At 42.9% G+C, this 16,386-nt stretch overlaps 1 protein-coding gene across 3 annotated transcripts in view, besides 1 other annotated feature; it reads left to right on the forward strand.

Annotated features, from left to right (window-relative positions):
- Window positions 1–16,386, forward strand: part of PRKCB (protein kinase C beta) — a 384,629-nt gene that overhangs the window by 18,107 nt on the left and 350,136 nt on the right. The window lies entirely within an intron of this gene.
- Window positions 11,671–12,317: an enhancer, noted in NCBI's record as "OCT4-NANOG hESC enhancer chr16:23877081-23877727 (GRCh37/hg19 assembly coordinates)". NCBI's record gives its function as "activates a minimal SCP1, AML or CMV promoter by ChIP-STARR-seq in naive H9 embryonic stem cells {active_cell/tissue: H9 hESC(naive)}" and the evidence as "EXISTENCE:reporter gene assay evidence [ECO:0000049][PMID:30033119]".

Here is a 16,386-nt window from a genome sequence, read left to right on the forward strand (position 1 = left end):
ATGATTCCATTACCTTCCGCCAGGTCCTTCTCATGACACATGGGGATTATGAGAGCTACAATTCAAGATGAGATTTGGGTGGGGACACAGCCAAACCATATCACCTGTGGACATCCCAAGCAGATCTCTTTGAGGCCGGGTTAGTTCTCTTCTAAGCTGACTTGTTATATAGAAGAATCCTTTGTTGGTTCTACTTCCAGATATTTGACTGGACACCCAACAAATCAATTATCTATTGCTGGATAGCACATAACCTCAAGGCTTAGTGGCTTAAAGTAGCCACTGTTTTATTTAGTTTTAGTTTCTGTGGGTCAGTAATTTGGGCTGGGCTCAGCTGGGTGGTCTGTCTGATCTGGGCAGGGATTGGCTGTTCTTGGCTGGGCTCATTTACCTTCCTGGGGCCTCAGCAGGGATGTCTAGGACAACTGGGGCCTCTCTTCAGGTCTTTCATCTTCCAGTGGGCTATCCTGAGCATGGTCATATGCTGATGGGTGCATTCTCTGGGCATGAGCAAGGGCTGCAGGGCTTCTTGAAGCCAAGGCTCAGAACATGCATAACATCACTTCTGCCATATTCCCTGGTCAAAGCAAATCACAAGCCCACCCCAGAAGTAAAGGAGGAAATAGAGAAGAGAATAGAGATGCCTCCTCTTGATGGGAGAAGCTGCAAATAATTTGTGATATTTTTTGGAACCCACCACACTAATTTCAGTGTGGTCCTCGCAATTGCTTGGCTGTCTAAAAACATACTCCAGTCTAGTGTGCATTTCTGAAAATGAACTTGATCAAAGGCAGGCCCCAAATGAGTGCTCAACATTTACACCTGATAATAATACTACCTACCTCCTAGGGAAATGGTAGGGCCAGATGAGATGCTGTATGCAAAGGATACGGCCAGGACTTAGTGCACACGCAACACTGAATACTACCACCATGACTACTGAATACTGCCATCAAATACTACCGTTACTACCACTTGGCACTCCCTAAAAGCTTGAGATTCAGAGAAAGGAAGACAAAGCCCCTGTACTTGAGGAGGGAGAGAATAAAGAGAGCCGGCGGGGGAGGGGGTGGCAGGAGAGAGAGAGAGAGAGAGGCGTGTGAGTGAGTTCTTGCAACACAGTGTGGTCAGTGTGATCACAGAGCTGTGATGGAGTGCGGATGAGGTCTGATGACTTACTGGTCAAGAGCATGGGTTCAGGCCTCAGTTCCTCCCCAATCACATGTGGGGTCTTAGGCATCTTTCTTTTTAATCTTCAGTTTCTTTGTCTGTGAAATGAAGATAATGGCACAGAGCCTACCTCCCAGAGTTCTATGTGGATTAAATGAGACAGGCAAACAACAACAAAAACCACAAACAAACAAAAAACAAAAATGAAAACAAAAATCATGTGATTGCTTATTAAATGTTAGTTATAGAAAAAAATATAAGTTCTTAAATGTGCCCTTGTAAAAATGTCCTAAAGACCTCATCTTTATTTAGTTCTTCTGCAACTCTGGCTAGCATCATTGATAAATTGTCTTAAAAGATGAAGATTTGTATGCAGGTGGTTTATTGGGGATGTAGCTCTTGGGAACAACATCTATAAGGGATAGAGGGAAGCAGGGAAGAGGTAGTTGAACTGTGGTGCAATAGTTGTAATAGAGGCCAAAGCCAATTCCATGGCTGGAGCTGAGACGGCCCTTCAGAACTGGGACAAGCCAATGCATCAAGTGGGCATTGATTGTGGGCTGCTCTTTGGAAGGCAGCATTACCTTGGGCAAAGCAGCTCCCTTCTTCAGGGGAGGAGTCCCAGGGAGGACACAGCTGTGAGCAATTGGTTTTCCCAGCAGCTGGGGGAATGAGTGCCTTGTCCCTATAGATGGTTTTGAGGGGGCTGCATTTGGGGGAATGCCTTCTGGGGTTCACTGCGTGCTTCTATGTCTTTCTTAGAGGTTCATTTCAAACTATACCTTGGTTCATTCACAGTACTGATTTAGTTACTATCCAGATTCATAGACTGTACTTGCTGGCACTGGAATATCATGGACAGAGAGTCCTAATCTGACTAGGCCTAGGGAATGACATGGGAATAGCTTGTCCTGGGTCATCCAGCTACCAGAGAGGAGAGCTGGGATTCATATCCAACCAACGATACTTTATACCTCACATTACTTCTGTTATGCTACACACTCCTGAGTCACAGGAGATTCCAACTTGTATTTCAAGCCCAGACTGCATGACTTCAATGTCCTGTTGCCCTTAACCCCTGTATCAGATTGCAGCCCCACTCTGGAAAGTTTTCTTGAATTCTTCTATGTATGTTTTTTAAACTGTGGGTCATCACTCATTAGAAGTTCATGAAGTCAATATAATAGGTCAAGAATACCATGAAGAAAGCAGAACAGAAAATATCACAGTGCATCACTCTCAGGAAGGGTAGATATTGTTTCACGAAACTTTTTTTTTTTTTGAGACAGGGTCTTTGTCTGTCGCACAGGCTGGAGTGCAGTGGTACAATCATAGCTGACTGTATCCTCAACCTCCCAGGCCCAAGAGATCCTCCCACCTCATTCTCATGAGTAGCTGGGACTTGAGGCACATGCCATCATGCCTGGCTAATTTCTAAAACTTTTTGTAGAGATAGGGTCTCCCTATGTTGCTCGGGCTGGTCTCAAACTCCTGAGCTCAAACAGTCCTCCTACCTTGGCTTCCCAAAGTACTGGGATTATAGGCATGAGCCACTACTCCTGGCCTCATACAATTTTTATTTGATATAAACATATATAGCCATGAGTGAACTGGGTCAAAATGTAAAATGTGTCTCTTACTGCAGGTAACTGTCAATGTAGTTCGAATATCACTGTGAAATATATAGAGAAGAGGCTCTGGGGGCTCATGAACTTGGCCCATGGACTGTTGAGGCTTTTTTTTTAATCTTTAGAGATGATATAAATGTAGTGCTTTGAATTCTTTATAATTAGAAGTTTTATTCTTACCCCATCACCATGTCCCAAGATAATTTTTATTATCATCTTTCAGCTTTAACATATCACAGACAAAAGTTATTTTTCCAAATAGAATTTTAAGTATGGTATAAGAGGTTTTTAGAAATGGAATGATTGGTTTTGGCGGAACTGCCTGGCCTGACCTGTCACTCGGGTGAAGTGTCAGAGAGCTGTGTCGAATGCTGGCGGAGAACTGTCCCTCTCCTGCAGAGAGAAGGAGCTGCTTATCCTGGGGGATAATGTGGGTTGAGAAAGAAGTGTTTTATGAGCAGAATCAGCACAGAGGGAGGGAGGAGGAGGTGTTTAGGGGCTGCAGAGAGCCGCCAGAAGATGTGGGAACAGTATGCCAGCACGGAGGTGGGTCAGATCCCCATGGTGGGACTCTGCTGAGGGTTGCCTCCAGCCGAGACTTCCAAGGGCTGGGATTCAGTGTGTGTTTATGTTCTCTGGTGTGCCTGATAGGTGGGGGCCCACATGACAGCTGGCCTCTCTGTGTTTCCCTTCTGGCCGTCTCTGATTTGGGGCCCAAGGGCCATAGGGGGGCCAGGGCACTCCAGATGGGACGAAAAGTCAAGTCCAAGAAAAAAATGAAATCCGGGCTAGGCTTGTCCCTGCTTGAGGATGTGAGAGAGAGAGAGAGAGTGTGTGTGTGTGTGTGGGTGTGTGCGCACGTGCGTCTGCAGTCCCTAGAAGGATCTCTATTCATTGGACAGAGAGGCCAAGGGAATTTTCCATTTCCTGGATGTCTTCAAAGATTTCAAATGCCATTAACTTGAGCTGACATTTATTGAGTACTCACTCGGTGACTGGCACTGTTCTAAGTACTTTACATGTATTAACTTATTTAATCCTCACAACAGCCCTGTGTGGCTGCTACTGTTATTGTTGCCATTTTATGCTGAGAAAACAGCACAAAGAATTGAGAAATTTTTCCAAAGTTACAGTTAGGATTCAAAAATAGACTTGGTTTTAGGATTGTGTAACTTCAGAATTGATGGTGACAATGACGTTGATGATGAGGATGATGATGATGATGATGAAGGCAGCTAATATTTCAGTGTCTGCAATGAGCTGGGCATTTTCACAAACTTTATCCCTTTGAATCTTTACCTTCCACTAAGATTTGCTGCTATTCTTATCCCTTTTGTAGATAAGAAAGCAAGCTTAGAGAAGATAAAACATTTGCTTAAGTAACTGCAGAGCGTAGATTGAATTCAGGTCCATTCGAGTCAGACTGTCTGTTCACCAAGGTGAAGGGCTCCGGGGGTCACAGAGGAGCACCATGGTGAGGAAGGCCCCGTAAGAGTGTGGCAGAATGGCAACCAGGAAGGATCTGGTATACGGGATGGTGATAAGGCCCATCTCTCATGGCCAGGAAAGTGTGCCTGCCACAGCAATGAATGAAACTGGCAACATTTGACAGGAAGGGGAAATTCTCTAGTGGGAGGAATACTTCCATCAAACTGTTTTTTTTTTTTCCCAGTGGGGGAGTTTGCACATGTGTAGATTTTTTTAGCCATAGCCTTGAATAAGGAATTCAGAAAGTGGCTTCTAGTTTGAGGACTTTCATTGGCCACGTGATCACAGTAGGCTGATTTCTTCATGCCTAAGTTACCAGGCTGGGAGGACAGGCTGAGAACTATGCAAGCTGTTGAGTCACTTGGAAGGAAGAGGGTTACATACAGCAGGCACTTTCATGGAATAATACTTCCCTGAAGAGCTGCACTAATTTATTGAGGCACTGAGCTGGATGCTTCACACACATGATCTCATTGAATGTCCACAGCACCCTAGGAGGTTGATCTCATTATTAACTTCATGAAGTGACTGAGGCTTAGAGATATTAAATAGCTTCCAGCCTGGGAAACATAGTGAAACCCCATCTCTGCAAAGAATAAAAAAAAATGAGCTAGGTGTGGTGGCTCGTGCTTATATTCACAGCTACTTAGGAGGCTGAGGTGGGAGGATCCCTTGAGCTTGTGAGGGTTGAGGCTGTAGTGAGCTTTGATGGCACCACTGCACTCCAGTCTGGGTGACAGAGTGAGACCCTCTCTCTAAACAAACAAATCCCAGGAGACATTAATTAACTTGCCACTGGTCTCTAAGCTAAGTAGTTGAAGAGGGCAACAAACCCAGGTGGTCTGACTCCTAGGCTTGAAGGTCCAGGTTCAGCTACTCCACCAGTATCCCTGGTCAGTCTTTGGCCAGGGCACAGAAGGTGGCATATCAAGTTGTGGGGTCTGATTTGGAAAGTGTGAGATCCCTCCTTTGTATCTTTTCCAAAGTCCACTCAGAAGAGAGTAGTGTAAAAGGAGTGATAGCACAGCGTGGTCTGGCTGGCATAGTCAGCCGCCCTGTGATGGGCAGGGGGAAGCTGCTTTCTGTCCTCAAGCAGCCCCTAAACTTGTAGGCCAGACTCATAAATCACACATTGATAACTCAGTGTGATGTGTGCTGTAATGGTGGAGAGGGGGGAGAAATGCCAGGAGCAGCTCACCTCCCAGGGTCCTGGGGAGGCTGCACAGAGGAGCCTGAGTTCTCAGTTGGGTTTTGAGGCAGAGGAAGCAGTGAAAGAGAGAGGAAGAATGTCAGTGAGGTGCGGGGAGAAGCAAGAGAGAGAAGACACTTGGCAGGAAGAAGTAGTTGAAGTACCCGGGGATGTTTAGCTTGAAGAATAGAAAATTTGGAGGAGGCAGAGAAAAGGCAGGAAACTTTAAAAGCAGGAGAGAAAGACCTCCAGGTTCCCAAAGGGAGCATGGCACTTCTCAAGGGGGTGAGGTTGACAGCATTAGGAGAGAGAGAGAGAGAAAGAGAGAGAGAGAAAGAGAGAGAGCGAGAGAGTTGTCAAGGAAGGGAAGGACCCATGGAGGGGAGAGCACAGGTGAAAATGAGAAGTGATGGGAAAATGGGTGGGAAATAAATGAAGTTTTGAGGCCAGTTGAGAAATCTTGCTTGGTGGTTTCTATTTTCTTTGTGAAGCAGAAAAAAAGAGGAATTAGACAGACCTGCATTCAAATCTCATGACCCCAGGCAAATTTCTTATCCTTAGCTTCTTCATTTTGAAAAAGGGGTGAATGATAATAGGACCTACCTAATAAGAGTTGTCAGGATCAAATATGTTAGTGCTTGTGTAAGATGCAGTGGCACCCTGGCACTTAGTACCAAAAAAAAGTACTATAAATGTTGTCACCTATTGAGGGAGTCCGGGTTTGGGTGCTTGATACATAGAAATATCATGAATAGCAGCAGAGAATACAAGAAGAAGAGAAAGCTTGGGGGAGAAGATAGAGAATTATGCGTTGGGTATGTTGAGGATGAGGTGCCTGTGCCATATCCGGGTGTAGGTGCCCAAAGGCAACTGGAAGTCATGAGAAGTCAGGGATAGAGGTAAATGTTTGGGAGTTGTTAATACAGGGGTGCATTTTTAAAATATCTGAAGTATGTTACTGGTGGCACTCAAAGATTTTTAATGATGTAAGGTATTCAACAACATGGAACTACGTAGTTTTAAAAGAAATTCTCTTGTAGGCCGCGTGTGGTGGCTCACACCTGTAATCCCAGCACTTTGAGAGGCCAAGGTGGGTGGATCACTTGAGGTCAGGAATTCCAGACCAGCCTGGTGAACATGGTGAAACCCCATCTCTACTAAAAAAAAAAAGAAACAAAACAAATCAAAACAAAAAAACCGGGCATGGTGGTGTGTGCCTGTACTCCCAGCTACTCGGGAGGCTGAGGCAGGAGAATTGCTTGGACCCGGAGTCAGAGGTTGCAGTGAGCCAAGATCGCGCTACTGTACTCTAGCCTAGGCAACAGAATGAGACTCAGTATAAAAAAGAAAAAAATGTTTTTTTCTTTTAATTCTTCGGGTTAAGGAGAGTGTCTTAGTTTGGTGCTATCATGTCCTAAACATCTTTCTAATGCATGCAAATCTCCCTTTTAAGCTAAAAGAATGAAGCAATCTCAGACTCAGAGCTATGTACCTGCTAGAATTTAATAATTTAAATTTTCATTGTGTTCTTCATACTCACCTTCTATTTATAGCAAGTGTTACTAGCTCTCCAATTCTGGAGGTTGTTTCAGATAGGATGCATTAGTTCTTTTTTTTTTTTTGAGACAAGGTCTTGCTCTGTCACCCAGGCTGGAGTGCAGTGGCACAAACACAGCTCACTGCAGCCTCAACCTCCCAGGCTCAAGCAAACCTCCCACTTCAGCCTCCCAGGTAGCTGGGACTACAGGCATGTCCCACCATTCCTAGCTAATTATTTTATTTTTTATAGAAACAGGGTCTCACTGTGTTTCCCAGGCTGGTCTTGAATTTGGGCTCAAGCAATCCTCACACCTCCGCCTCCTAAAGTGCTGGGATTACAGGCATGAGCCACCATGCCTGACCTGCTTTGGTTCTTAAAAACAGAATATCTGGCGAGCCTAACAAGGAGGCTGGTGGTTCCAGGGTTGGTTTAATCAAAGACTTAACACTGTCATCAAGCGCCTCTCAGTTATTTGCTCTGCCATCCTCAAAATGTGATCAGTGTCTCCCTTCTTGGTCCCAGGAAGGCTGTGATAGCTCCCAGAATCACATACTCACAGGGCAAAGCAGGAAGGAAGGGGACATAGGACAAAGGATTTGTGTTTAAGTATTTCATGTCACATTTGCATGTGGTGCTTGGAGCTGTGGCAGCTATGTTTTGACCATGAGGGACAAGGTTGGCAAGCTGTAAATGGCAGTGTAAAAAGAGGGAGAGGATCTGTCTCCTTCACAATATCCTTGAGCCCCTGAATTCACTAATCTTGATATAGCTCTATCTCTTGAAATTTTGTTTTGTTAGATAATTCTCTTACTGCTTAAAACGTCTTAAGATGGGTTTTCTGTTCTTTCCAGTAGAATGCATTGTATCTCACACAATTTGAGGTTATTGCCTCAACCTACTCTGAATCATTGCTCCTCCCCCTTTTTTCCTGGTTGATTAGCTTCTCTTGAGATTGTGTCTTATCTTCCTGGTTTTTTGTATGTCGGGTAATTTTGGATTGTATCCTGGACACTGTAAGTGTTGTGCTGTGGAGACTCTGGATTCATTCGTATTTCTCTGAAAAGCATTGATGTTTTTGTTTTAGTAGGCCATTGACTTGGTTGGACAGTAGACTGTCTCTGGGACACCAGCTCAGATGTCAGTTCTGTTTTTTATTTTATCCTTGAGTCTTCTTTGGGACTGCCCCATGCATGCATGGTTCAAGAGTCAGCCAGACATTTGGGTGGGGTTTAGACACAGAATTTGGGGCTCTTCTCTCTTGGCTGTCTCTATTATGGAATTCCTTCCTCACTTTCCAGAAGCCGTGAGTGACCTGAAACCTGTCCTCTGGTTCTGTACACCAGAAAGACTTGAGGCTTCATGTTGAAGTTTTAGCTGACAGCAGCTTGCGTTCAGGGGAAAAGCTGTAAAATGACCATTCCCTTCTTCCAAGTTTCAACCTCTCTGCAGAATCTGCTTTCTTTTGTTCACTTTCGAGTAATTTCAGGAAAAAATTTTTTTTTCGTTGAGAGTTTTTACTTGTTACCTATGGAAAGGTTGGGTCTAGCTGAAGCTTGCTTGCCCATAACAGAAACGAGACTCTTTTCTGTCTAACACATGGGAAAACTAACGCCCAGAGAGGTGAAGTCATTTCCCCAATTGTCAGAGGCACTTGAGCCAGAGTGACTCCATCTTGAGTAAGGGCTAGGAAAATAAGACCGGGACTTGCTGGGCTGCATTCCCAGAAAGAAAGGTATTCCTAGCCTCTAGATGTCTACAGTTAAGGGAACAGATTGATAATGTTTACTAAACAGAGCCAGGCTTGGCAGTGTCCAGCTATCCCGATATCTTGAGAACAAAGGCATTCCTAATTTTGCTTTAAGGATAATAATATTGATTATTGCAAAACAGAGTAATTAAGAAAATTAATCCTTTATCACAAACCCTTGTAGCAGAACACATCTCTCCATGATTTTTAAAATCATATATATATGATTTATATATATGATTATATAATATATAACATATATGATCATATAATCATATATATGCATGTGTATGTGTATATATATACACATGCATATATATGTATATATGTGTATACATACATACGTATATATGTGTATATATACATACATATATATGTGTATATATATACATATATATACACATACACACACACACACACACACACACACACACGAATATTTTACCTAGGGTGGACGTGCTCCTTCTCTTACTTTTAGGAACCCCCTACTCTGTCTATGGAGTAACTGTTCTTTCACCACTTTACTTTCTTAATAAACTTGCTTTTGCTTTGCACTGTGGACTCACCCTGAATTCTTTCTTGTGCAAGATCCAAGAACCCTTTCTTGGGGTCTGGATCAGGACTCCTTTCCTGTAATACAATGTCACAGAGCTCTTAAGTGGCAGAGCTTGGGGCCAAACTTAGGCTGCTGCACCCGATGTCCCAGCTCCTCTGCCCTATCTAGCTGTGGATTTGTGCCTCGAAATAGAATTGCATTTTGAATGCAGTTTCATTTTCGTATGGAAAGTGTCTATCCTGTAAATGTAACTGTAGCAGCCCCAAAGCTGAGCTGGGCAGTTTTATGGCAGCCTGGAGTCAGTCTTGTCCGCTTCCAATCAGGGTTCCTGGACTGGCTCCTATATTAAAATTGGTATTAGTAGACAATGTTCCAGGCAGAGTTTTGGATAGAAACTATCCATCAGCACCAAGAATGTGCCTGATTTGGTAATCTTTTTACCAAAGTAAAAGTCAGTAGTAAGTTGTGGTTAAAAGAGAGGAAGTTCAGAGTTCAGTACGTTATTTCTCTCTCTCTCTCTCTTTGTTTAAATAAAAGAGGAAGTTACTGCTCTTATTTTTGTACCAGCCCGTCAGTAATGGGTACAGAGTAAAATCTTAGCTAAGCTGAGGTCAAACTTCAAAACTTAGTAATAAGGATCTCCCTTGTTCCTTTGTAGGGCGACTAACATGAAGGTTCTGACTCTTAACCCATAGAGCCACAAAAAATAGTCCTAGGAAAATCATATGATTTTATTTATTTTAGGAACAGAAATGGTCCCTTCCGAAGTAGAGGCATTTCTACTTCTTTCCTAAACACCATCTCTGCTCAGTGAGCTCTCCCACCCTCAGGTACTGTGTTTCAGGCTTATTGCTGTATTGCTAGAAGTATCCTCACCTTCGAGATTAAGAAAAGATATTTATTGCCGGGCACAGTGGCTCACGCCTGCAATCCCAGTCTTTTGGGAAGCTGAGACGGGAGGATCACTTGAGCCCAGGATCTTGAGACCAGCCAGGGCAGTATAGTGAGAACTCATCTTGAAAAGAAAAATTTATTGAGCTCCTACTGTATACTGGGGATACAGCAATAGGCAAGATAGCCCTTGCTCCTCATGTAACCTACAGATAATAAACAAGATTACAAACAAACAAAATAAGAGGTCGTTCTAGATTATGATAAGTGATGGAAAAGAAAAAACCTGTATCTACTTCTTATAGCAGAGACCTGCATTGGGAGTTGCTGTGATCAAACAGGAAACGGAAGGTGGAGTTTGCTTCTGTATCCCTCCATCCCTGAGTGGAGGCTGGGTGCTTCTCACGACCAGGGCCTCTGAGATTTCTTTTTTTGTTTTTTTTAAATTATTTTAGATTAAGGGAGTACATGTGCAGTTTCGTTACGTGGTTATGGAGCGTGATGCTAAGGTTAGGGTTTCTATTGGTCGCGCCACTCACATAGTGAACCTAGCATCTGATAGGTAGTTTTTTGACCCCCTTCCCCTATGCCCTCTCCCTCTTGGGGTCCCTAGTGTCGGTTGTTTCCATCTTTATGCCCCTGTGTACCCAATGTTTAGTTCCCACTTCGAAGTGAGAACATGTGGTATTTGGTTTTCTGTTTCTGCATTAATTTGCTTAGGATAATGGCCTCCAGCTGCATCCATGTTGCTGCAAAGGACACAATCCAAATAAGCACAATCAGAAATGACCAAGCTGACATTATGACTGATCCCACAGAAACACAGGAGATCCTCAGGGATGACTATGAACACCTCTATGCACACAAGTTAGAAAACCTAGAGGAAATGGGTAAATTTCCTTTGCACACAACCTCACAAGATTGAACGAGGAAGAAATAGAAATCAAGATTTATTTTCTGTTTTGTTTGTGTGTGTGTGTGTGTGTGTGTGTGTGTGGTTTTTTGTTTGTTTGTTTGTTTTTTGGACAGGATCTCATTCTGTCACTCAGACTGAGGTACAGTAGCACAATCACACCTCACTGCAACCCTGACCTCCTGGGCTCAGGTGATCCTCCCACCTCAGCCTCCAGGGCAGCTGGAACTACAGGCATGTACAACAATGCCCGGCATATATATATATATATATATATATATATATATATATATATATATATATATATGTGTGTGTGTGTGTGTGTGTGTGTGTGTGTGTGTGTGTGTGTGTGTGTGTGTATATGTATATTTAAATTTTTATATATAAATATATATCTATCTTTGTAGAAATGGGGTTTTGCCATGTTGTGCAGGCTGAAATTGAGATTTCCTAATGTAAGAAACAGAGCCCCAAGGGGCTCTTCTTGGGCTGGTCGCTGTATTTCATCAGGTGCCTCTGTGTTGGACACTTACTTCCCTCCATTGCATAGATTGGATCCTTTATGCTTAGCCTAGACTCTGCCCTTTGGGATGCAAGGAGCTGAGTGAAGGTTCTGGGAGAGTAGGCTTAAGCCCAGAAGAGGGAGGCCTCTCTCTGGATGTCATGCTAGAGCCTGCCTTTTAGTCTTTGTGTTTCCACTCTCCATCCTCCTCTTCTGGAGTTCAGAACCCCTTCCTGGTCAAATTGCCCCCGGGCTCTATGGGATCCTGTGGGATTCTATCCTTTGAGTCTACCCCACCCTTCAAGTACTTCCTGTCTTTTCACACCTAAGTGAAAGAAAGTAGGATAAGAACAGCAGTTGTTAACTTGATTGATTGTAAATTGCCTTCATTAGAAAATGTTAATTATCGCCCCTGGGAAGGGATTAATCCTTTAGGTCTCTAGGTTACTAGACTGGCAAAAGCCAAGTGTGCCTTGGTTGACTGTTTCTTTCTGAGAGTAAAGAGAAAACATCAGGGGAGGTAGAAACCTCAGTCATGGGGTAATCATTATGGCCATGTTTATCCCCATACACGTATCTTCTGCTGATTCTGGAGTCAGCTAGATTTTGTGACCCAGCATAGATGATATAGTGACATTGTCCTGCTGTGTTAAAAAATTTAAGTTCATAAGAAATGCATAAGTACAATCTCATCAGGATAAATTACACAACATAGATAAGATTGAAGACCTTTTAACTCTTTTGACGTCTCAATTTAGTCCCCTCTACCTTCCCCAGAAGCCTATTGTTTGTAAATTTGGTGTCTCTTATAGAACTCTGTAGCATTCCAAAGTCTGAACTTTCTCCCATGCATATGGCCACTTCCCTGTTGATGAACATTTAGATTCTTTTTTGGAGGGGTTGTGTCTATTACAAACAGCATGGCAATGAGCATCTTTCTACACATCTCATCAATATGCAAGTGTTTCTCGTGTTCCTCGGAAGTATAATGGCTTAGCCCTGGGGTATACACGATTCAGCTTTTAATAGGTTTTGCCAAATGTTCTCCAGAATAGCTGGACCACTGTATACTCCCACCAGCAGTGTGTGTTTCCGTCTCACTGCATCTTTCCCAGACCATGATATTATCAGGCCTTAACACTTTTGCCAATCTGATGGGAGAAAAATGGCATTTAATTTTAATGATCCTTTCCTGTCCCCTTCTCTTCTCTTCTCTTCCCTTCCCTTCCCCTTCCTTTCTTCCTTCCCTTCCTTCCCTTCCTTCCCTTCCTTCCCTTCCTTCCCTTCCTTCCTTCCTTCCTTCCTTCCTTCCTTCCTTCCTTCCTTCCTTCCTTCCTTCTCTCTCTCTCTCTTTCTTTCTTTCTCTTTCTTTCTTTCTCTTTCTTTCTTTCTTTTCTTTCTTCATTTCCTTTCCTTTCTTTCCTTTCTTACTTTCCGAGTCTCACTCTGTCGCCCAGGCTGGAATGCCGTGGCATGATCTCAGCTCACTGCAACCTCCGCCTCCCAGGTTCAAGCGATTCTCCTGCCTTAGCCTCCTTAGTAGCTGGGATTACTGCCACCTCACCTGGCTGATTTTTTTTGTATTTTTAGTAGAGACGGGGTTTCGCCATGTTGGCCAGGTGGGTCTTGAACTCCTGACCTCAGGTGATCCACCGGCCTCGGCCTCCCAAAGTGCTGGGATTACAGGCGTGAGCCGCTACTCCCAGCCACCTCTTCTTACTAGTGAGACTGAACATCTTTTTACATATTTATTGGACAATTGTATTTCATCTTCTATGAATGTCTCCCTCCCCACTTTTTTATAATTTCATATTGATTTGTAATAATTTTTATTTCAATCTACTAGACACTGATCCTTTGCTCGTTGTTTGTGTTTGTGTTGTCTATTTTCATCAAGTCCTGGGTCCTGTGTCACTTTAGTGCCATAAGGGAATGACAGACTCCCTTATTATTGGTTTAGCTCTTGAAGCCTAACAAAGTGTTTCCAAACAGTTCATTATTCCCACTTTAAGGATGTGAAGACTGAGGCTCAGGGTCACAACTTGTGCAATCTTGGGTAGACTTTGAATCTCTGAGCAGACTTAGAAGTAGACCAAACTGCTGTGAGCCACAGGGAGATTATTATTGCTAACTTTTCCCTGTTAGCCAAACACTTCTGCTTGGTCCCTCTAGAGAGAAGTCTTTAATTATTCATCTCTTTCCAAGTAATTGGCGACAAGTCCTGCAGCTGGGAGTTGGAATAAACTTGGTTGCTAAAAGCATCCATCACACATAAAACAGGGGAGATCTGGCTCCAAAGAATGGTAGATGTAGATCTTCCCCTACGGATTTGTTTTCTGAAGATCTCCTTATACACTGACCTCAGCCTTTTGCTGACCTATCCTTGTGAACTGAAGGCTGAAAAAACCAATGTAGCCATGGTCCACATCCATTTATCACTTTCAGAAATGGCCCCTGCACTTTATATTTCTTCAGGTCCTGCAAAAAATATTGAAAATCCTTTACAAATAGAGGCAAGGTCAGGCCATCCCTGTGGGATTTCCAGGGAGCAGTGCACTGACCCGTTTTGCAGAATGGGAAGCAAAAAATAAAACTCAGACTTAGACAGCTGGCATAAGCAAGGACTTCCCTATTCTGAGTGCCAAATGTCAATTTGAAATACTTGAACTTTTATTCTCTGGGACATGTACTGGCATTAGTAAGAATTTCTATTTATTGAGCATTTATTTGGGGCAGGCAGATGATAAGTTATACACATTAATTATCTTATTTGATTTTCACAATGACCTATCAGTTACATAATTGATTGTCTGCATTTTATGGATAAATAACCTGAGGCTCAGTTATTTGACTTGCTCAAGGTGATGTAACAAGTAAATGGCAGAGCCATGATTTAAATAACAAAACGCATGCTCTTAATCACCACATTAATGTCTTGATATCAATTAATAGAACCATTTCCCCTCCATTTTCTCTTTAGTTTCAGAACTGGTAAGAGTTTGTCTAATAAGATTTTTATAAAGTGGTGACATGAATGGCTTGTGGGGATGGAGACTGGGGCCGGCTGCCAAGGGTACCCATCTCACACGAAGCATCAGGTCCACTTGGGTTTGTTTTTGGCTGATTACAATCTTGAATCAAACTTTTCAGTACAGCTGGTCTCCCAAGAACTTTCTAATGTTGATTTGAGCTTCCCTGAATGAATCTCAGAAAATAAGAAAGGGAGAGAGAATGCCTGTGTATTGAGCTTGACCCATTTCACAGATGCCGAAATAGAAGTGAGGCGACTTGCCCAGGGTCCCTGTGGTGGATTGTGTTGTTGTCTCAATTATTTGCTCCCACCTCATACAAGGATTATACATTTCACACATGGCTATGTGACATACATGTCTACTTGCAGAAGGGACACACTTTCCTTCCCACTGATGTGGAGCATTGGCCAATGGAACGTGAGCAGACACAATCTACTCTACATTTAAACAGAGGCTTTGAGAAGCTATTGTGTGGTTTAGCCATTGTTCTTCCCACCTCTGCCACAAGACCAAGAAAGGGCTGTTGCCTCAGCTGCGTCCTGGGATGGAAAAGACACAGGAAGTAGAATCACAGAGCCACAGACAACTGCAGTGACACGTAGCACGAGTAAGAGCTAAACTTCGAATATTGTAAGTCACTAGAATTTTGGGGTTGCTTATTATTGCACTTACCTACCAAAAGCTGACTAATACAGTCATATAGCCAGTAACTTGACTAAGCTGGAGCTTGAGCCAGGTCGAACTCCCAATCCTATCCATGGTCTTTTTCTTATTTCAGTCTTCCCTAATATTCCATTCTAACTTACATCATATTTTCTGTGTCTGTGTGCTGTCTGTCCTTTTTTCTTTTAAATAAATCTTTTTCTACCAAAGATATAGAACAGGAAATAATATTTTTCTTTAAAGAGTCTGTTTTTTCATTTCAACCCATTTATTTTGAAGGAAATTTTATCATCGTATAAATAGAAAAACAGTGTCATCACAAATAATTCATAACTATAAGCAGTGGCTCACGCCTGTAATCCCAGCACTTTGGGAGGCTGAGGTGGGCGGATCACCTGGGGTCAGGAGTTTGAGACCAGCCTGACCAACATGGTGACACTCCATCTCTACTAAAAATACAAAAATTAGCCAGGCATGCTGGCAGAGGCCTGTAATCCCAGCTACTCAGGAGGCTGAAGCAGGAGAATCGCTTAAACCTGGGAGGCGGAGGTTGCGGTGAGCCGAGATCGCGCCATTGCACTCTAGCCTGGGCGACAGAGTGAGACTCCATCTGAAAAAAAAAAAAAGGGTAATTTAAACAATATTATGAAGTTCTAGCTAGGTACTGTTGGCAGACAAGAATCTGATTTTGAAATATCGTCTCTCTATGTTCCAAAAAGGAGTTTGGCAAATATTAGAATGGTGTTCAAAACATACAAGCACCAAACTGATACTTTCTCCTTTGATAAATCAGGAAGATTAAAAAAGAATCAGAAGAACAATTTCTTCCTAGTATGGCTTGGTGTGATGAGTGTCATCTGTATTCCATATAAAATTCTTTCAGATATCACCAATGAGTGATATGTTCATTACAATGGGGGGTGTCCCTTTCTTTGGTTCATGTATAATAACTGGAAACATGTATATAGCATGTGGTATGTGCCAGGTACTCTTCAAGATACTTTAGTTATTTAATCTATTGTCAGATAAGGAAACAGAGGCTTGGAGAGGCTAAACAACTTATCCTA

The sequence above is a fragment of the Homo sapiens genome, chromosome 16 (assembly GCF_000001405.40).
Source record: "Homo sapiens chromosome 16, GRCh38.p14 Primary Assembly".
Taxonomy (NCBI): domain Eukaryota; kingdom Metazoa; phylum Chordata; class Mammalia; order Primates; family Hominidae; genus Homo; species Homo sapiens.